Source organism: Homo sapiens, chromosome 1, assembly GCF_000001405.40.
Source record: "Homo sapiens chromosome 1, GRCh38.p14 Primary Assembly".
NCBI classification, from domain to species: Eukaryota; Metazoa; Chordata; class Mammalia; order Primates; family Hominidae; genus Homo; species Homo sapiens.
The window spans coordinates 180,081,830-180,100,504 of NC_000001.11; the positions used below are offsets into that span (position 1 = coordinate 180,081,830).

The 18,675-nt window shown below is 36.4% G+C and overlaps 1 protein-coding gene across 27 annotated transcripts in view; it reads left to right on the forward strand.

Annotated features, from left to right (window-relative positions):
- The window catches only part of CEP350 (centrosomal protein 350), a 160,066-nt gene that overhangs the window by 127,020 nt on the left and 14,371 nt on the right, over nt 1-18,675 (forward strand). For all 27 annotated transcript variants that reach the window (NM_014810.5, XM_047435442.1, XM_047435459.1 and 24 more), the window contains 7 exons: nt 2,189-2,349; nt 5,749-5,888; nt 8,885-8,967; nt 10,785-12,787; nt 13,694-14,101; nt 14,209-14,355; nt 17,034-17,156. In NM_014810.5, coding sequence (NP_055625.4) covers nt 2,189-2,349; nt 5,749-5,888; nt 8,885-8,967; nt 10,785-12,787; nt 13,694-14,101; nt 14,209-14,355; nt 17,034-17,156 — 3,065 coding nt within the window. The remainder of the gene's footprint in view (nt 1-2,188; nt 2,350-5,748; nt 5,889-8,884; nt 8,968-10,784; nt 12,788-13,693; nt 14,102-14,208; nt 14,356-17,033; nt 17,157-18,675) is intronic.

Genomic DNA, 18,675 nt, shown 5'->3' on the forward strand with positions numbered 1-18,675 from the left:
GTATAATAAAAATTCTTTTTGTATATTTCAGTGTGGAATAGATTCTTAGGAATAGAATCATTGAGTCAGGCCAGTTGAAGAAAGTTGTCTCATATTTCTCTGTGGAAATTTACTAATGTTTTTATATATTTGCTTTTATGTACGTTGGTGAAAAATTACTTCCAAGAGAATAACATGTCAGTAGACATAAACTTGAATACTTGGAAACATGGGTTCTTATCCTGGATCTCTTACTTACCGGTGACTTTCTTCAAGTTTCTTTGCCAATACTGGATTATCTTTTTCATTTGTTAGCAATGGAATAATGTTTCAACCATCCTTGCATGAGTTATGCACCAAGGATTAATAATAACATTTGTAAGATACTGTTTTATTGGTGACACTTATTTAAGTAAGAATAAATGGTTTTAGAAAAGTAGCTCTGAGGTTTCTAAACTACAGATTCACTACCTATTCAAGATGACATTATTTATATTCAGTATTTGTAGAAGTGGTAGATATTAATGTAGTAGAGTTATAATACCTTTACTTAAATGATGGGAGAGTTTATCAACCAAGCTAATATAATCAGTGTGTGTCAAATAATCAGAAACTCCCGCCTCAGCCTCCTGAGTAGCTGGGACTACAGGCGCATGCTGCCACACCTGGCTAATTTTTGTATTTTTGGTAGAGATGGGGTTTTGCCATGCTGCCCAGGGTAGTCTCAAACTCCTGACCTCAAGCAGTCTGCCCACCTTTGCCTACCAAAATGCTGGGATTACAGGCACGAACCAGTGCGCCCGGACTGCATTTGGTTTCTTTAGTACTTAAAAACATAAACATTTTCCAAGGTCTTTCATCTAAAAACCCCAGGTTTTTCATCACCTGCTATTAAATCTTCAACCATAGATGGTAAATATATTTTTTATTGAAAATCACTGCTGGCATATACAATTTTTAAAAATATTAATTTAAAATAGTTATTTTGGGGGCAAAATTGAAACTAAGCCTGTAAGAGTGTAGTGGTGTACAAAATCTTACCAAAATAATAATAATTTTGGAAGCACATAAGTAAATATTGAGCCTTGCCTATGCTAAGGACTCAGTATGATGCCACCACTAATATAAAACAAGCCTAACTTTCCTAGTATGTCTTAACTCAGTGTCATAGAAGTGACAGGAACTCAGATTTTATTATTTCTTATTCAGACATTTAGACCACACTATTAAAAAGACTGTAATCTTTTTGCATTTAAATAACTTCCATAACTAGCTCTTACACGGTTTAATCTGAAGTAACTGATAAAATCCTGGTTTTTGATGTGATGTTAAGTCTTAAGATTTGTGTATATTATTTCTGTTGTAAGACTATTAAATGTCTCACTCAACATTAGTATATGGAAATGACACCATTGTGTGATTGAGGGAGGTGTGAGGAACAGTAATTTCTATCCTATGTAATTTCCATGTGTAGTGAAATAAGCAGTGTCTTTAAATGATACCTGTTTGTTTTCATAGCATGTGTATGACACATTATAATGAAATATCTTTTTCATGATGTTGCTATGAGTAGACGTCTTGTGTATGTGAACTGTTGGAGAGAAAAGATTTAACTAGCTTCATTTCAGTTATTTTAAATATTTTGAGAGCTTTCAAAGAGAGATTACAGCAGAGTCTATTTCTTTATAACTTCTCTCTTTTTAATGTGGTATTAAGCCATCAGGGAATGAATCACAAGCAATTTGAAGTGGTAAAACTCTAGTTTGATTTTAATATGACTTAAAAACTATTAAATTATGTATTAATAACTAAGGCAAAAGACAGTTAAATATGATTATCTTGTTACCAGAAGTAATTTCTTGCAGAATATCCAAATTTCATCAATCTAAAAATTTCTCAACTTCCAGCTGCATGTCTTACCAAGACAGCGTATCTCAAGATTTATTTATAATTTCAAGTAGTACAATTAGAAAGTGAAAATAAATAGGAGGAACCAAGCCAAAAATAAAGTGTATGTGGCGGGCGGCGGGGAGGGTGGGAATTATAGGGATACATTTTAGTAATAAATCTTCTTCCGAAGCTCATATTTTAATTATTAGATTGGCTTTATTTAAATGGAATATTACATTACAGCTTTTTATTAGTAGTTACTGAGTTAACATTATTCTTAAGTCAAAATTATAAATAAAAGATTTTGTATCTCTTTCAGAAACTACATCTGACCAGAGTGATATTGAAGGTAGGATCAGAGCTCTGAAGGATGAGTTGCGGAAAAGAAAATCAGTTGTGAACCAGCTGAAGAAGGAACAGAAAAAAAGGCAAAAGGAAAGACTGAAAGCCCAAGAAGCCAGTCTGATCAAGCAGTTAGAGGTTAGACATAGGAAGAAGGGGGTTTAGTATCAAGGCTAATGTGTATGTGACGTCTAAAATGTTTTTAATGTTGTTAATAAAGTAATGGATTAGGATTCTTCATTATTAGTGTGGTGCCACATTTTATTCTCTTAAAAAAAATCTGAGGGTATCCAAGGACATTCTTGCTTAAAACATTAAATTTTATTTTATTTATTTATTTTTGAGATGGAATCTCGCTCTGTCGCCTAGGCTGGAGTGCAGTGGCGCGATCTCTGCTCACTGCAAGATCCGCCCCCTGGGTTCACGCCATTCTCCTGCCTCAGCCCCCTGAGTAGCTGGGACTACAGGCGTCCGCCACTACGCCCGGCTAATTTTTTGTATATTTAGTAGAGACAGTGTTTCACTGTGTTAGCGAGGATGGTCTCGATCTCCTGACCTCGTGATCCCCCTGCCTCGGCCTCCCAAAGTGCTAGGATTACAGGTGTGAGCCACTGCGCCCAGCCAAAACATTAAATTTTAAATTTAAATATTAAAATAACAAGTATTAAATATTAAAATTGGCTACATATAGTGGTGTGTTCCTGAAGTCCCAGATACTCAGGAGGCTGAGGCAGAATTGCTTGAAGCCAGGAGTTTGAGGCTGTAGTGCACCATGATTGCACCTGTGAATAGCCACTGCATTCCAGCCTGGGCAACATAGCAAGACCTCCACCTCTAAAAAATAAATATTAAAATAAAGTATTAGATTTTTTTTTTCTAAATAAGAAAGATTAGGCCTTTGAAAGAAAGATTGGTGTCTATACCCTTGTAAGCAGAGAAGTATTAGATAAATAATTTTAGCTTTTGGAATTGTTGCTGCTTCCCTTCCCCCTTTCCTCTTTCCTCTTCCTTCCCTCTTCCCTGTCCCCTTTTTTTCTCCTTTTCTTTCCTCCTTCCCCTTCCCCTTTCCCCTTTCCCTTTCCCTTCCCCTTTCCCCTTCCCTTCCCTTATTTCACAGAATGGTGTTTCATGCCACACAACCTATTAAATAGTACACTTCTTTGTGCTATTTGAATAGCTTCTAATTGATAACTCTTAACTTGAATTTTCCCCCAAGCCGTAGCAGCCTTTCTGAGTCTGTCCCAGGCTGGGAACCTGATTTTGATGTCTTCCTTATTCTGTTCTTTCCTGTCCAATTCAGTCACTAGTTCTCATGGATTCTTCTATAAAGTTTCTTGTTTGTCCCTTTCCATTCCTACTGCTTCCAGGCTAGCTGGGGCCCTTATGACCTCTTGCCTCTACTGTCTGCGTAGTCTCTTAGATGTTCTGCCTCATACTGCTTTTCTATTACACACATTCTGCTTCTCTGTTACACACATTCTGTTTCTCTATTACACACATTCTGCCAGCCCGGTGTTCCTAGAACAGGACATTCATTGTAGAATCAGATTGAATCTCCTACTCATTGCAAGAATCCCTTCTCATCTCATCACCAGAGAACATCATTCAACTTCTACCTGAACACTTCCAGTAATAGGAATTTTCAAAATTTCAAGCTAATTGGTTTCCTTGTTAGACTCTAAGTGCTCTAAGTATTAGAAGAGCTCTTTGTTGTATTTAGCCAAAATTTCTGTCCTTTTAATTTCCACCCATTGGTCCTTGTTGTGTAACAGCAAACACATGCTTCTCCTACTGTTATTAATTTAATCATCAAATATTCAAATGCCTATTTATGTGCCAGGAGCTCAGCTAATTACACATATTTTTCATTTAATCCTCACAACAAGGTGTGAGTATTATTATCCCTGTTTTATAGATAAGGAAACTGAGTTTCAGTGAGATTAATGATTTATCCAAGGATACAGAGCTCATAAATGGTGAAACTAGGATTTTAATCTAGCTCTAATTTTAAATTCTGTGGCTTTACCATTGTATTGTCTTCCACACAGAAAATAGGCCTGTTAATAGATCTGGAGAAAATAAACATTTAAACAGGTACACAATACAGAGATGGAATAGGGATTGTAACTTGCACAATGGTTAGAGTAGGAAAAGTGATTAAGATACAATGACCATACTGAGGAGTTCATGCTGGAAAGAAGTGGAAACAAAATTTAAAAATACAGATTATATTCAGGACCGTAGAAGTCAAACTGATGAGTTTGGATTTCATCTTATACGTCAACTAATGAGGAGTCATTGAAATAACTGTTGGAGATAAAGTACTATTAGAATGAATAGTATTGCTCAAAAATGTACCTTAATAGCTATGTCAGTCAGAAAAGAGCCCTCTAGAGAGTGCCATACGATCCATCTCTTCCAGCATTCTACTTAATGGCATAAACAAAGACAAAAGAAAATTCTGTATTTAACTTTTAAAATTACAGTATATGAGATATGCATATATATATATATATATATAAAATACATAGCAGTTCATATAAAAATCTATTGGATTTTATTTGATCACAGATTTAATAAATGGACTGCACTCATATATGTATAGCTTTCAGATCTTAGTAGTCATAGTCCTCATATATACCTATTGAGCTAGAACACCTAGCTGTGGTGTAGGTTTAATACCAGGAGTTATTTTAACAAAAAATGTTGACAATTCAGACGAAGGTAACATGGATGATGAGAGTTGTAAAACAGTGATTTCAGTCCAGATTTTAGGGAACCGTAGCAGTTGACAAGCATCCATCCATCCATTAGTTCATTTTATAAATATTTATTGATAGGCTACTTTGGACCAGGCATTGTGAATAGGACATTGCGTACCAGACATACAGTGTTGAACAAAACACTAGTCTGAAATAGTGAGAGCTGTAAAAGTAAGGACTTCAGCCCAGAAAACTAAGGAATGATATATTAAATGGAGGAATCCCCTTATATTTCATACAAATTATAAATTAGTAAAGTTTTGTTTACAGAATGGGTAATAACCAGGAAACTTTTTTTTTGTAATTCTCAACTATCATACTGTCAACTATATCTTTCTCTTTTCATAATTTGTATCCCTAAGTACTTAGCCCATAAGAAACTTACTGCTATTGAAACTCAGAACAGAATGACTAACTTCTTAAAGATACCATGAAAGTAATAGTACACTCTTTAGAGAATACAAAGAAGTTTTTTAATGTGGCAAGGTATGAATTATTGCTTCATAGTATTAAACTTCTGTAGATTCGCAATGTCATTTCTTAATTGATACTGGAATTACAATTATATATCTTGCTTATATATAGATTATTTTGAGAAGGATGTACAAATAACTATAGAGTTCTGGAGAATGATGCTGAGGGGGGCAGGGAGGGAGATTTTTATATTACATCTTCTTTACTGTTTGAGCATTTTACCTTAAAATATACTATTTTATAATTTAAAATAAGTTTTAAAAATTCTGCCTAGTGACTCCTCTGGTTTTTCTAAACTTAGTCATATGATGAATTTATTAAGAAAACTGAAGCCGAGCTTAGCCAAGATTTGGAAACATCACCAACAGCCAAGCCTCAGATTAAAACGCTCTCCTCAGCTTCTGAAAAACCCAAGATCAAACCCCTCACACCACTACACAGGTAGAAATTTTTGATAACTTGTCTGTATTCTGCCTTGTTTGAAAAAGGAATAAGGGAATATTTTCAGTAGAAGTTACCCTTTAAGTAACTGAAATTACAGAAGTAAAAATATTATTTTCTATTTTTAGTGTCAGTAAATTAAAATTGTTACATATTATAATTAAAAATTATATGTATAAGGTATTGATTTTAAAATACATTTTTAATCCTGCAGTCTGATGGGTACAATGAAAATGGTAGTTTCCAACATTGCTAGTAGTAGCATAAGTTGATGTAGACCTTTGAAAAAAACAGTTTGGCTATGTTTCAGAAGTCAAAAATAAGTCTGTAACCTTTGACCCAGTAATCCTATTTCTGGAAGTCTAAATTGAGAAAATGTGGGGTACTGAAAATCTCTATTTGCATGAATATATTTATAATAACATTCGTTATATTCTTTATATTCATAAAACATTGGAAACAATTTTTATGGCCAAAAATGGATGAATAGCTCAGTAAATGACGGTTCTCTGCAAGCGATGTAATAGTATGCAGTCAGTAAGCAAATACAGAAGATACTAAGTTGCAACATTAGAATATATAATATTGTGTATTAGGAAGTCAGGTTATCATATTTAAATTTTGAACAAAAAGTAAAGGTTAGATCAGTTCAATTGAGAAATAGGGGTCATTTCAGAAAATGTTATTCATGAATGACTAAAAGCAAAAAAAAAAAAAAACATTGGCATATCATAGAAGCTGAACATAATAGGTTATTGCTGGAGTTAGCAGAAGGAAAAATAAACAAAAGCCAAATAGTGAAAACCTTGTACTCATTTATTCTTAGCAGTTTGTGTTTTACCTTTTAGAAAATGTGGAGCCTTTGAAGGTTTCTTTAAAAAGTATTTTGGGACATTTTTGTTAGAGAGGTATGGCAGGCTCATTACAATTAATTTAGCATTACCTAAATTTGAATCCTGGCTCCAGTTCTAGCTGGTTCTGTAACTGTGGGCAAGTTATTTAACCGCTCTGTGCTTCAGTTTTTTAATAGGGATTTATAAAGGTAAGAATAATACCTGGTTAATACACATGTTATGAGGGTTAAAAGACTTAACAGGGCTTAGGACACAGTAAGCATTGTGTATTAGCTGCTGCTATTATTATTATTATTGTTACTATTTCTAGGGAAGCAGTAAAAAGAAAAAAGTTTAAATCATATCATACCCAACTATCCCACAATAGCAAATGTCAACAATTAGATATGTTTCCTTCCAGGATTTTTTATGCTCAGATTTTGTGTGTGTGTTTTTGTTACATATGTATTTTTCCATTATATTATGAAGTGTACATTTTAATTTCTACATGATATGCTATTGAATGGGTTTGTAATTTTCTTAAGCTACTGAAGGATTTTAACCAGAGAGTGACACAGTCATGTTTGTGTTTACAGAGATCTTTCTGACCACAATACAGAGGAAAGATAGAAAAGAGTAAGCTTAGAAGCAGGAAGAAAAATAGTCTAAGCCAGACCTCAAGTAAGCAGTAGTAAGAAGAATAGAAAACAGGAGACATATTTTAGGATAGTGAAGGATTAAAAAGTAGACTTGAGCCAGGCACGGTGGCTCACGCCTGTAATCCCATCACTTTGGGAGACTGAGGCAGGTGGATCACAAGTCAGGAGTTCGAGACTAGCCTGACCAACATGGTGAAACCCCATCTCTACTAAAACTAGAAAAATTAGCTGGGCATGGTGGTGTGCGACTGTAATCCCAGCTACTCAGGAGGCTGAGGCAGGAGCATCGCTTGAACCCGGGAGGTGGAGGTTGCAGTGAGCCGAGATCACGCCATTGCACCCCAGCCTGGGCAACAGAGCAAGACTCCATCTCAAAAAAAAAAAAAAAAAGTAAACTTGATAAGTTAAAGTGCTAGATGGGGTAGCAAGTCTAAGATGACTCCCGGGTTTCTCTTAGGTAGTTGATTGGGTCAAGGTTTCATTAATTTAAATGGAAAAGGTGGTTTTCTGTGGGAGGCTTATGATTTTGGTTTTAAGTGTTAATTTTAAGTGCCTGTTGTTTAAGTGAAACCGTGAGGAAAGTTATCAGGGTTAGAAATATGAGGAGGATAAGCACATATATAGTGGTTGAAGCCATAAATCACCCAGAGGAGATAGCATTCAGAGAGAATAAATGGGAGCCAGGTACTCAAGATGATAAAATAGCAACATTTTAGGGCATTGTAAAAAGGTAGGACGTGAAAGCCAAGTATTACAGTTTAGCAAATGAAGTCAAGAAAATAGAGTGAATGTAGCCTCTTCTGTTATCTATAAAGAATAAGAGAGGACAGTAATATGGGGTGGTTTGAGCAAATAGCTTTGAACAAATAAGAGAGAGACAAATTTTCTTCCTGCAGACAGGAGGAAAGGCAGTTAGGATGGCTGTGAATATGGATGAACTTGCATGTAAAAGTTTGAAGGTAAAGTTCATGCCTGTTGGCCTCTGTTTTTGTCATCTAGTGACAAAGGCAAGGTCATCTAGTGAGAGTGATGAGAGTTAGAAATAGGCTTGATGAGGCCGGGCGCGGTGGCTCACGCCTGTAATCCCAGCCCTTTGGGAGGCAGAGGCGGGCGGATCATGAGATCAGGAGATCGAGACCATCCTGGCTAACACAGTGAAACCCCGCCTCTACTAAAAATACAAAAAATTAGCCGGGCGTGGTGGCGGGCGCCTGTAGTCCCAGCTACTCGGGAGGCTGAGGCAGGAGAATGGCGTGAACCCGGGAGGCGGAGCTTGCAGTGAGCCGAGATCGCGCCACTGCACTCCAGCCTGGGCGACAGAGCGAGACTCCGTCTCAAAAAAAAAAAAAAAAAAAAAAAAAGAAATAGGCTTGATGAAAGTGACATAGATTGACATACCTACTGTAGAGAAGAGGAAAGAAGCAGTTGTCTAAGAATGTCTGCTTTTTGTTACCAGTTATTATAGTAATATGTTTATTTCTGCTCATTAATTTTTACACGTCAGATCTGAAACGGCAAAGAATTGGAAATCACTAACAGAGTCAGAACGTTCCAGAGGATCCCTGGAGTCTATTGCTGAACATGTTGGTATGTAACTAGAAAAAATAATTAACTTGTAGCTACATAGTCTAAGGATTTATGCAAAGGCCTACAAAATTCTACCTCTATAGCTTTTTTATTAAAAAGTGAATTTCTTAAGTAGATTATTTAACATTTTAAAGTTACTTTTATATTTTAAAGTGATTTATTGGCTATGTGTAAATTATATGAATCCTTTTTGTTTGTTTTAGTTTTTTGGGTTTTTTTTTTGTTCGAGACAGGGTCTCACTCTGTCACCCAAGCTGGAGTGCAGTGGCATGATCATAGCTTACTACTGCAGCCTTGACCCCCTGGGCTCAAGCAATCCTCCCATCCTAGCCTCCCAAGTAGCCAGGACCAGGATCACAGGCACATGCCACCATGCCCAGCTCATCTTTTTTTTTTTTTTAAGAGACGGGGGGGTCTCACCGTTGTTGCCCAGGCTGGTCTCGAACTCTTGGACTCACGCAGTCCTCCCACCTCAGCCTGGTTGAACATTACCAGCACTTCAGCCAAAGTGGTGAGATTATGGGCATGAGCCACCACACTCAGCTGAATCAGTCTTTATTGTCCAAAATTTATGAGAAAAACCAAAGTATAAAGATTAAATAGCTGAGTATATCATCTGCATCTCTGAATTTCCCCTAACCAGATTTTTAATCTGGTTATATATATTTTCAGCCTAACTATTTCTTAGCTAAATAGCTGTATACATTTTTCAGTTTAACCAAAAGAAAGTTAATTATTAAAAATAAAATGTAGGCTAGGCGCAGCAGCTCACGCCTATAATCCCCACACTTTGAAAGGCTGAAGTAGGCAGGTCACTTGAGCTCAGGAGTTTGAGACCAGCCTGGGCAATATGGTGAAACTCCATCTCTACAAAACATACAAAGTTAGCTGGGCATGGTGGTGCACACCTATAGTCCCAGCTATTTGCAGGGCTGAGGCAGGAAGATCGCTTACACCCAAGCAGTTGAGTCTACAGCGAGTTGTGATCAGCCACTGCACTCCAGCTTGGGTGACAAATTGAGACACTATCTCAAAAAAAAAAAAAAATGTAATTCAGTGAGAAAATAAAACTGAGGTGCAAAGAAACATCAGTGACAAATAGAGATTTGGCCAGGCACAGTGGCTCGTGCCTATAATCCCAGGTACTTAGGAGGCTGAGGCTAAGGATCGCTTGAGCCCAGGTTCAAGGCAACAGGGAGCTGTGACCACTGCACTCCAGCTTAGGTGACAGAGCAGATTCTTGCTCTTACAAAAAAAAAACGATTTGAATTTAAAACTTTTAACTCTTGGTTTGTTAGCTCACTATATTGTACTTTGATCATATTTTGCACGTTTAGCTCTTAAAGTGCTATATTTGCAGAAATAGTTGATCTATTTTCTTTTTAATTCAAGAGCTTAGTTGAAGCTCCTAGGAAAATGTATTCTTTTAGAAGTATATATGGAAGTCTGTTTCTCCTTCACTAGTTTCCTGTTTGAAAAATGTTTGTAATAACCATCATACAATTCTATTTTTGCATGATTTGAGGATGAATGTGCAAAGCAATGGTTCCATCAACTTAGATACATTTTTCTTCACTTTATAAGTTAAGACAGTGCTTAAGAAATTATTCCAAACTTTAGAATTTTCAGTAATTTTAAATGTTGATACAGATGATATTCTCTTAAAAGAAAAACTTATAAAGTAGCCAAAACAGGTCATATTTATTGACTAGAGGGGTTTTTTTCACTAAAATTTGGCTTTTCTCTAAACTTTGGTTCACAAAATTGAAAGATAGTGATTAAATAATTTTGATGTGGTGATTTGTTTTTTCTTTAAGATGCTTCACTGTCTGGTTCTGAGAGATCAGTATCAGAAAGGTCTTTATCTGCATATGCAAAGAGAGTAAATGAATGGGACAGTCGAACAGAAGATTTTCAGACCCCATCTCCAGTTCTCAGATCATCAAGGAAAATCAGAGAAGAATCTGGAGATTCTCTAGAAAATGTACCTGCATTACATCTTCTCAAAGAATTAAATGCCACTAGTAGAATTCTTGATATGTCAGATGGCAAGGTTGGAGAATCTAGTAAAAAATCAGAAATAAAAGAAATAGAGTATACAAAATTGAAGAAGAGTAAGATTGAAGATGCCTTTTCTAAAGAAGGTAAATCTGATGTCTTACTGAAATTAGTCCTAGAACAGGGAGATTCATCTGAAATTCTTTCAAAGAAAGATCTTCCTTTAGATTCTGAAAATGTTCAGAAAGACCTAGTTGGATTAGCTATTGAAAATCTCCATAAAAGTGAGGAAATGTTGAAAGAGAGACAGTCAGATCAAGATATGAATCATAGTCCAAACATCCAATCAGGAAAAGACATTCACGAACAAAAGAACACAAAGGAAAAAGATTTGTCTTGGTCAGAACATCTTTTTGCTCCTAAAGAGATACCATACTCTGAAGATTTTGAAGTGTCTTCTTTCAAGAAAGAAATTTCAGCTGAATTGTACAAAGATGATTTTGAGGTGTCATCTTTGCTGTCACTCAGGAAAGACTCTCAGTCTTGCAGAGATAAGCCACAGCCAATGAGGAGCTCTACAAGTGGAGCCACTAGCTTTGGTAGTAATGAGGAAATCAGTGAGTGCCTAAGTGAGAAAAGCCTTTCTATCCATAGCAATGTTCATTCTGACAGGCTGTTGGAACTCAAGTCCCCTACTGAGCTGATGAAAAGTAAGGAGCGCAGTGATGTGGAGCATGAACAGCAAGTTACTGAATCCCCTTCCTTGGCTTCAGTTCCTACTGCAGACGAGTTATTTGATTTCCACATTGGTGATAGGGTGTTGATTGGAAATGTTCAGCCAGGAATTCTTCGATTCAAAGGTGAGACTAGTTTTGCTAAAGGATTTTGGGCCGGAGTGGAGTTAGATAAACCTGAAGGAAATAACAATGGAACATATGATGGTATTGCATATTTTGAGTGCAAAGAAAAGCATGGTATTTTTGCTCCTCCTCAAAAAATATCTCACATTCCAGAAAACTTTGATGACTATGTAGACATTAATGAAGATGAAGACTGTTACTCAGATGAACGATATCAGTGCTATAATCAAGAGCAAAATGATACAGAGGGTCCAAAAGACAGAGAAAAGGATGTCAGTGAATATTTTTATGAGAAATCCCTACCTAGTGTGAATGATATAGAAGCCTCAGTTAATAGAAGTAGAAGCCTTAAAATAGAAACAGACAATGTACAGGACATTTCTGGGGTACTTGAAGCCCATGTTCACCAGCAGTCTTCAGTGGATTCACAGATTTCTTCAAAGGAAAACAAAGACCTCATTTCTGATGCCACAGAAAAGGTTTCCATCGCTGCAGAAGATGACACTTTAGACAATACCTTTTCCGAAGAATTGGAGAAGCAACAGCAGTTTACAGAAGAGGAAGACAACCTATATGCTGAAGCTTCAGAAAAGCTTTGTACACCACTTCTGGATCTTTTAACAAGAGAAAAAAACCAACTGGAAGCCCAGCTGAAGTCATCACTAAATGAGGAAAAAAAGTCAAAACAACAACTGGAAAAAATCAGCTTACTGACAGACAGTTTACTAAAAGTCTTTGTAAAGGACACAGTCAATCAACTACAACAAATCAAAAAAACCAGGGATGAGAAAATCCAGCTTAGCAATCAGGAGCTTCTTGGTGATGACCAAAAGAAAGTAACACCCCAAGACCTATCCCAAAATGTTGAGGAACAGTCGCCAAGTATTTCAGGTTGCTTCTTAAGTTCTGAATTGGAAGATGAAAAAGAAGAGATTTCCTCTCCAGATATGTGTCCCAGACCGGTGAGTATTTCGTCTAGAAAAAGTATCAGTATACCTTTTGACACTTTTAACAAGGCAACTTACCTTGCCTATATAGTACATTTTAATTCTGTGACTCCTGATAGGTTTTTTTTCCCTTGACGTGTTGTTTATTAGAGAAGGATCACTGTACTGGTTTTTAAAGGCCTTGTAGCTGTTTTTCCTGGCTGAAGTGTAATTGTCCTCTATTATGTCATGAGTAGTCAATATAGGGTTGTCACAAGCACTGGCAGGTTTTGGGGAACTAAAACATCCATTTAAACTGCTGAGTTGACAACCCCTGTACTGTCCATAGATTACATCTCCTTCCAGATTCACTGAACAAATTCGTTCCATGGAGCTTTCCAGTGGCTCACCACCCAATTCTTTTTTGCCTGTGAAATTGTTTACATATCTACTCAGTCATGGTTGGCCTGCAGAGGTTAGCAGTTGTGATGTTGATTCTGGTAAAATGAAATAGATCCACTATGACATGCACTCAGACCATCAGCTTGTTTATGTTGCCCATGGACAGTTGAGCAAAAGTAATGACTTTGAGTAACTTGAGCCAGATGGTCACCAGAGGTGAGAAATTTTATATCCCATTTCCATATCCCATAGACAGTTCTTTAGAAACAGAATAATGATAATACAAAAAGCGGGGAGAGCCCTAATCAATAAACATTTTATAAAAATTCAGTTATATGCAAGGTTTATATAAGTAGAATTGAGGGAACAGGATAACTTTTTCTTAGATTGTTTATTAGTAGCCACCATATTGTTTTTTATTCTGCTTACTTATAGAGAAATATTAGATATATAAATAATGCATTTACTCTGTCTTTTTTTAAAAAAAAATGATATGAGGTCCCTAAATGGTGCTCTGTTTGAATGGTTCCATTTCTATAGGAGAGCCCAGTATTTGGTGCCAGTGGGCAGGAAGAACTTGCTAAGAGACTTGCTGAACTTGAACTCAGCCGGGAGTTCCTGAGCGCGTTAGGAGATGATCAAGACTGGTTTGATGAAGACTTTGGTTTGAGCTCTTCTCACAAGATCCAAAAAAATAAGGCAGAAGAAACCATTGTACCTCTAATGGCAGAACCTAAAAGAGTAACCCAACAACCATGTGAAACATTATTGGCAGTCCCCCATACTGCAGAAGAAGTAGAGATTCTTGTACATAATGCAGCAGAAGAACTTTGGAAATGGAAAGAATTAGGCCACGATCTTCATAGCATCAGTATTCCTACAAAACTGCTTGGCTGTGCCAGTAAAGGTCTAGATATAGAAAGCACTAGTAAAAGGGTCTACAAACAGGTAGGTGAAATAAAAGGATAATTTTAGTTTTTAAACTTTTCTCCCATTGTCTGAAATTTGGATTCTTAGCCATTTTGTTTTGTTTTGTTTTGTTTTTCTCTATCAAGGCGGTTTTTGATTTAACAAAAGAGATTTTTGAGGAAATATTTGCTGAGGATCCCAACTTAAATCAACCTGTCTGGATGAAGCCATGTAGAATCAACTCTAGTTATTTCCGACGAGTGAAAAATCCAAATAACCTTGATGAAATCAAGGTAAACTGCAAACTATAAAGTGTCTTCTTTTTTGACTTGCTGTTCATTTACACATATCTGTAAATGTTGTAAAAGCAGGTGCTCTTCTGTATGATTAACCTTTGTGTCTTCAGGACCTGTTCCATAGTGGGTATTCAATAAAGATTTGTTGACTTACTGAATCCATGAACAGTGGAGGGATTGGAATGAGTGAAAGGGCTGAATCCTCAAGTTTGTGCAAAAAAAAAAAAAAATTCTTTTACCAGTCATTTTCTCTATATACATAATTATAATATTTAAGAAAAATTAGGAAATACCTAGGGAGATAAATTATTGCAACTAATAGGAGTTTTAGGTAAGTTTTGGGGGCTTTAGAGATAGGTATAATGTTCTAAAAGTACATATGAATACGTGTCATATATATGTCTTTTCAATATGCCAGCCCTGGACACATAGGTGTTAACTTCTTTATCTTTGACTTTGGAGGTTTCAAATTGGTAATGTGGTTTTGAACTATGTAGGATAGTAATGTGATACGTAAAAATATTTATTTTGTTATCTAAGAAACCTTTGTAAACCTTTGTCCAGAAGCTACAAGGACTATGAACTTTAAAGTCACATTGCTGGCAATCTGCTCTGCCTAGTCACATGTTTCTTTACGGCAAAGGTTATATTTCCAGAGCAGTGATTCTCAACTTTTAATGTGCATGTGAATGATCTGAGGATCTTGTTGAAATGGAGATTCTGATTTAGTAGGTCTGGAGTAGGACCTGAAATTCTGCATTTCCAACAAGCTCTCAAGTCATGCTGGTCCTGCTGGTCCTGCTGGTCCTGCTGGTCCCAGGACCACGCTGAGTAGCAAAGCTTTAAACTTGTATTTCCCAAACTTATTTGATCACAGAAAGCCTTTAAAAATATTTTATACTTATAGAACACCAACAGATATTTATGAGATGGGATGTATGCTTACCTCAGGGGTTGGCAAACTATGGCCCATAAGCCAAATCCAGGCCCCTGTATGTTTTTATAAATAAAGTTTTGTTGGACCACAGCCATACCTAGTTGTTTACATGTTACAACTACATGTAACTACAACAGTGGAATTGAATAGTTGTGACAAAGACCACATGGCCCGCAAAGCCTAAAATATTTACAGTCTGATTTTTTACAGAAAAAATTGGCCATCCCCTGGCTTAAAGTAACTAGCTTTTTAAAAACACATTGTATACTCCATTCCTTCTACCCTTTCACAATTGAAAATGCTTGAATGCTATGTGTGTCTGTGAACAGGTAGGGAGTGATGGAATTTCCGGGCACGTTGGTACTTTGAGAATCTTTCCAGGTGATTCTGATTCATAAATGTGTCCCTTCCCCTGTTAAGAACATTGTTTTTTTAACAGAACAACCATAAAAGTAACAAAATAAATTATTAATAACATTAAGTTGAGGTAAGACAAGATATATAATATATACCAACAATCAAACTACATGCATCAATATAGCATACAATAAATGCCCACTAATTTTAATATTGACATAACATTTTGTAAAGTTTTTAAGGGTGATAGTTCAAATATTGTTAGTAGTAAAATTATTATGCTTCTCATACTGAAGTGTTGATATTTTTTAATTTAACATATTTGAGTTTTGGTGCTTCAAAATAAACTATCCCAAAGTCTTTTGCTTTTCTCACATTACATTGTCCCCAAAAATTTCTTTGAGATTTTTCCAATTCAGAGATTTATTTTATGCTTTCTTTAGTAGTTTTGCCAGCTTGAAGTTAGCTAATGGTAGTTTTGTTGTTGTTTTTTCTTTGTTTTTCTTGAGGTGGAGTTTCACTCTTGTTGCCCAGGCTGGAGTACAATGGCGTGATCTCAGCCCACTGCAACCTCCGCCTCCTGGATTCAAGTGATTCTCCTGCCTCAGCCTCCTGAGTAGCTGGGATTACAGGCATGCGCTACCTCACCCAGCTAATTTTGTATTTTTAGTAGAGACAGGGTTTCTCCATGTTGGTCAGGCTGGTCTCGAACTCCCGACCTCAGGTGATCCGCCGCCTTGGCCTTTCAAAGTGCTGGGATTACAGGCGTGAGCCACCGCACCCAGCATGGTAGTTCTTAAGTAAACTCTAAAGTGATTTTTCTTTGCAGATTAATCAGTGGGTTTTACTTTGTTGTTGTTGTTGTTGTTGTTATTTTTAGATAAGATCTCGCTTTGTCACCTAGGCTGGAGTGCAGTGGTGCAATCTCAGCTCACTGCAGTCTGGACCTCCTGGGCTCAATCAGTTCTCCCACCTCACCCTCCTGAGTAGCCAGAACTACAGTCATGTACCACCATGCCCAGCTAATTTTATATATTTTTTGTAGAGATGAGGTCTCTCACTATGTTGCTCAGGCTGGTCTCAAACTCCTGGGCTCAAGTGATTCTCCTGCCTTGGCTTCAGAGAGTGCTGGGATTACAGACGTGAGTCACCGTGCCCAGCTAGGTTTTACTTTTATATGTTGCGTAAGTGAATAAAGTCTCAGCATTTGGAATGCTTTTCCCTTCAAATTGCTATGTGGAACTGTAAGTGGAAGAAATTTGTATGATAATTTTATTGTAAATATTATATTCTTATCGTGAATCTGTTTACTGCATTGTAAACACATGAAACTCAGGAATTTCTGTTGTTTGTGTTTCGTGTATTTGTCTTGTTTCCACAGAGCTTCATAGCAAGTGAAGTACTCAAGTTGTTCAGTCTTAAAAAGGAGCCAAACCACAAAACAGATTGGCAGAAAATGATGAAATTTGGAAGAAAGAAAAGAGACCGAGTGGATCATATCCTGGTCAGTGTATACAACCAAACTGTTTTTATTTTGACCATATCTTTTAAACTCAGAATGCAGTTAGATTCTAAAAGGAAAAGGGATAGACTTATTCTTAAATCTATGGTATTAAAATCTTAAAGCCTTTACTTGCTGCATTTCTACCCCTCAGTTTTGTTAACTATTTTCTTTTGTACTCAGTAGATGAACATTTAACTTGATCAATAGTATTTTATGTAGAACTTGAGAAATTTACTCAAATGGAAGCAAAGTTTAAGGTAGTGAATTGAAAAGAGACCAGTGTGGACTCTGGAGCCTGACTGCCCATGTTTAAATCTCTTGATGTGTAATCTTGGACAAATTTGTCTAACATTTTTGTGCAAAGTGAAGGTAACAATAATAGTACTTACCTGATAAAATTATTAAGAAAATTAAATAAGTATATGTGTAAAGCACTTAGAATAGTTCCTCATATACAACTCAGTAAATAATAGCTGTTACCTCATCATCATCACTATTATCATTATCCAGAACATTCCCTGGATAGGATTTATTTGGTTTTGCAATATATTTCTGTAACATTAGGAAAGTGTTTATCAAAAAAGAAAAAAAGAAAAATTCAGGTTTCACTCTAAACATTTTAATTCTGGACCTTTTATCTATATTGACATTTATATAATGAAAAAAAGTGTAATACTTAAATTTATCACCGTTCTCATGTATGTACCTCTCTAGTGTTTCATTTACTCAGTAATAACTGTACTAGATAACATTTGCTTAGTATTTTATAGTTTATCATTCTTATGCCTTATTTGATTTTTTTTTTTTTTTTTTTTTTTGAGACACAGTCTCGCTCTGTCACCCTGGCTGGAGTGTGGTGGCACAATCTCTGCTCACTGCAGCCTCTGCCTCCCAGGTTCAAGTGATTCTCATGCCTCAACCTCCCGAGTAGCTGGGATTACAGGCACCTGCAACCATGTCCAGCTAATTTTTGTATTTTTAGTAGAGATGGGATTTCGCCATGTTGGCCAGGCTGGTCTCAAACTCCTGACCACAAGTGATCCGCCTGCCTTGGCCTCCCAAAGTGCTGGGATTACAGGCATGAGCCACCGCGCCCAGTGTCTTATGCCTTATTTGATCCTCACGATAATTACATGAGGTAGGAAGAACTAATGTTATCCTTTGTTTTACAAATGAGGTGTCTTACGCCTTATTTGATCCTCACAATAATTACATGAGGTAGGAAGGACTAATGTTATTCTTTGTTTTACAAATGAGGAAATTTAGATTCAAAGATGTTAAGTGACTTGCCCAGTAAAATAAGAGACGAGATTTTAATCAACTAATTCTTCATAGATCTTCACATCTCAAGAAAGTGAATTTGTTCTCCTATTTCTATCATGTCTTAAAGTCTGAATTGTTATTAATTTCCAAGTTGTTACTTCCTTTACTTCTTAGGAATTAAAGAAAAAAGCATATTAAGAGGCATTCATCTAACCTATCAGCTAAATTGATGATATCCCCTATAAATCACCTCTGT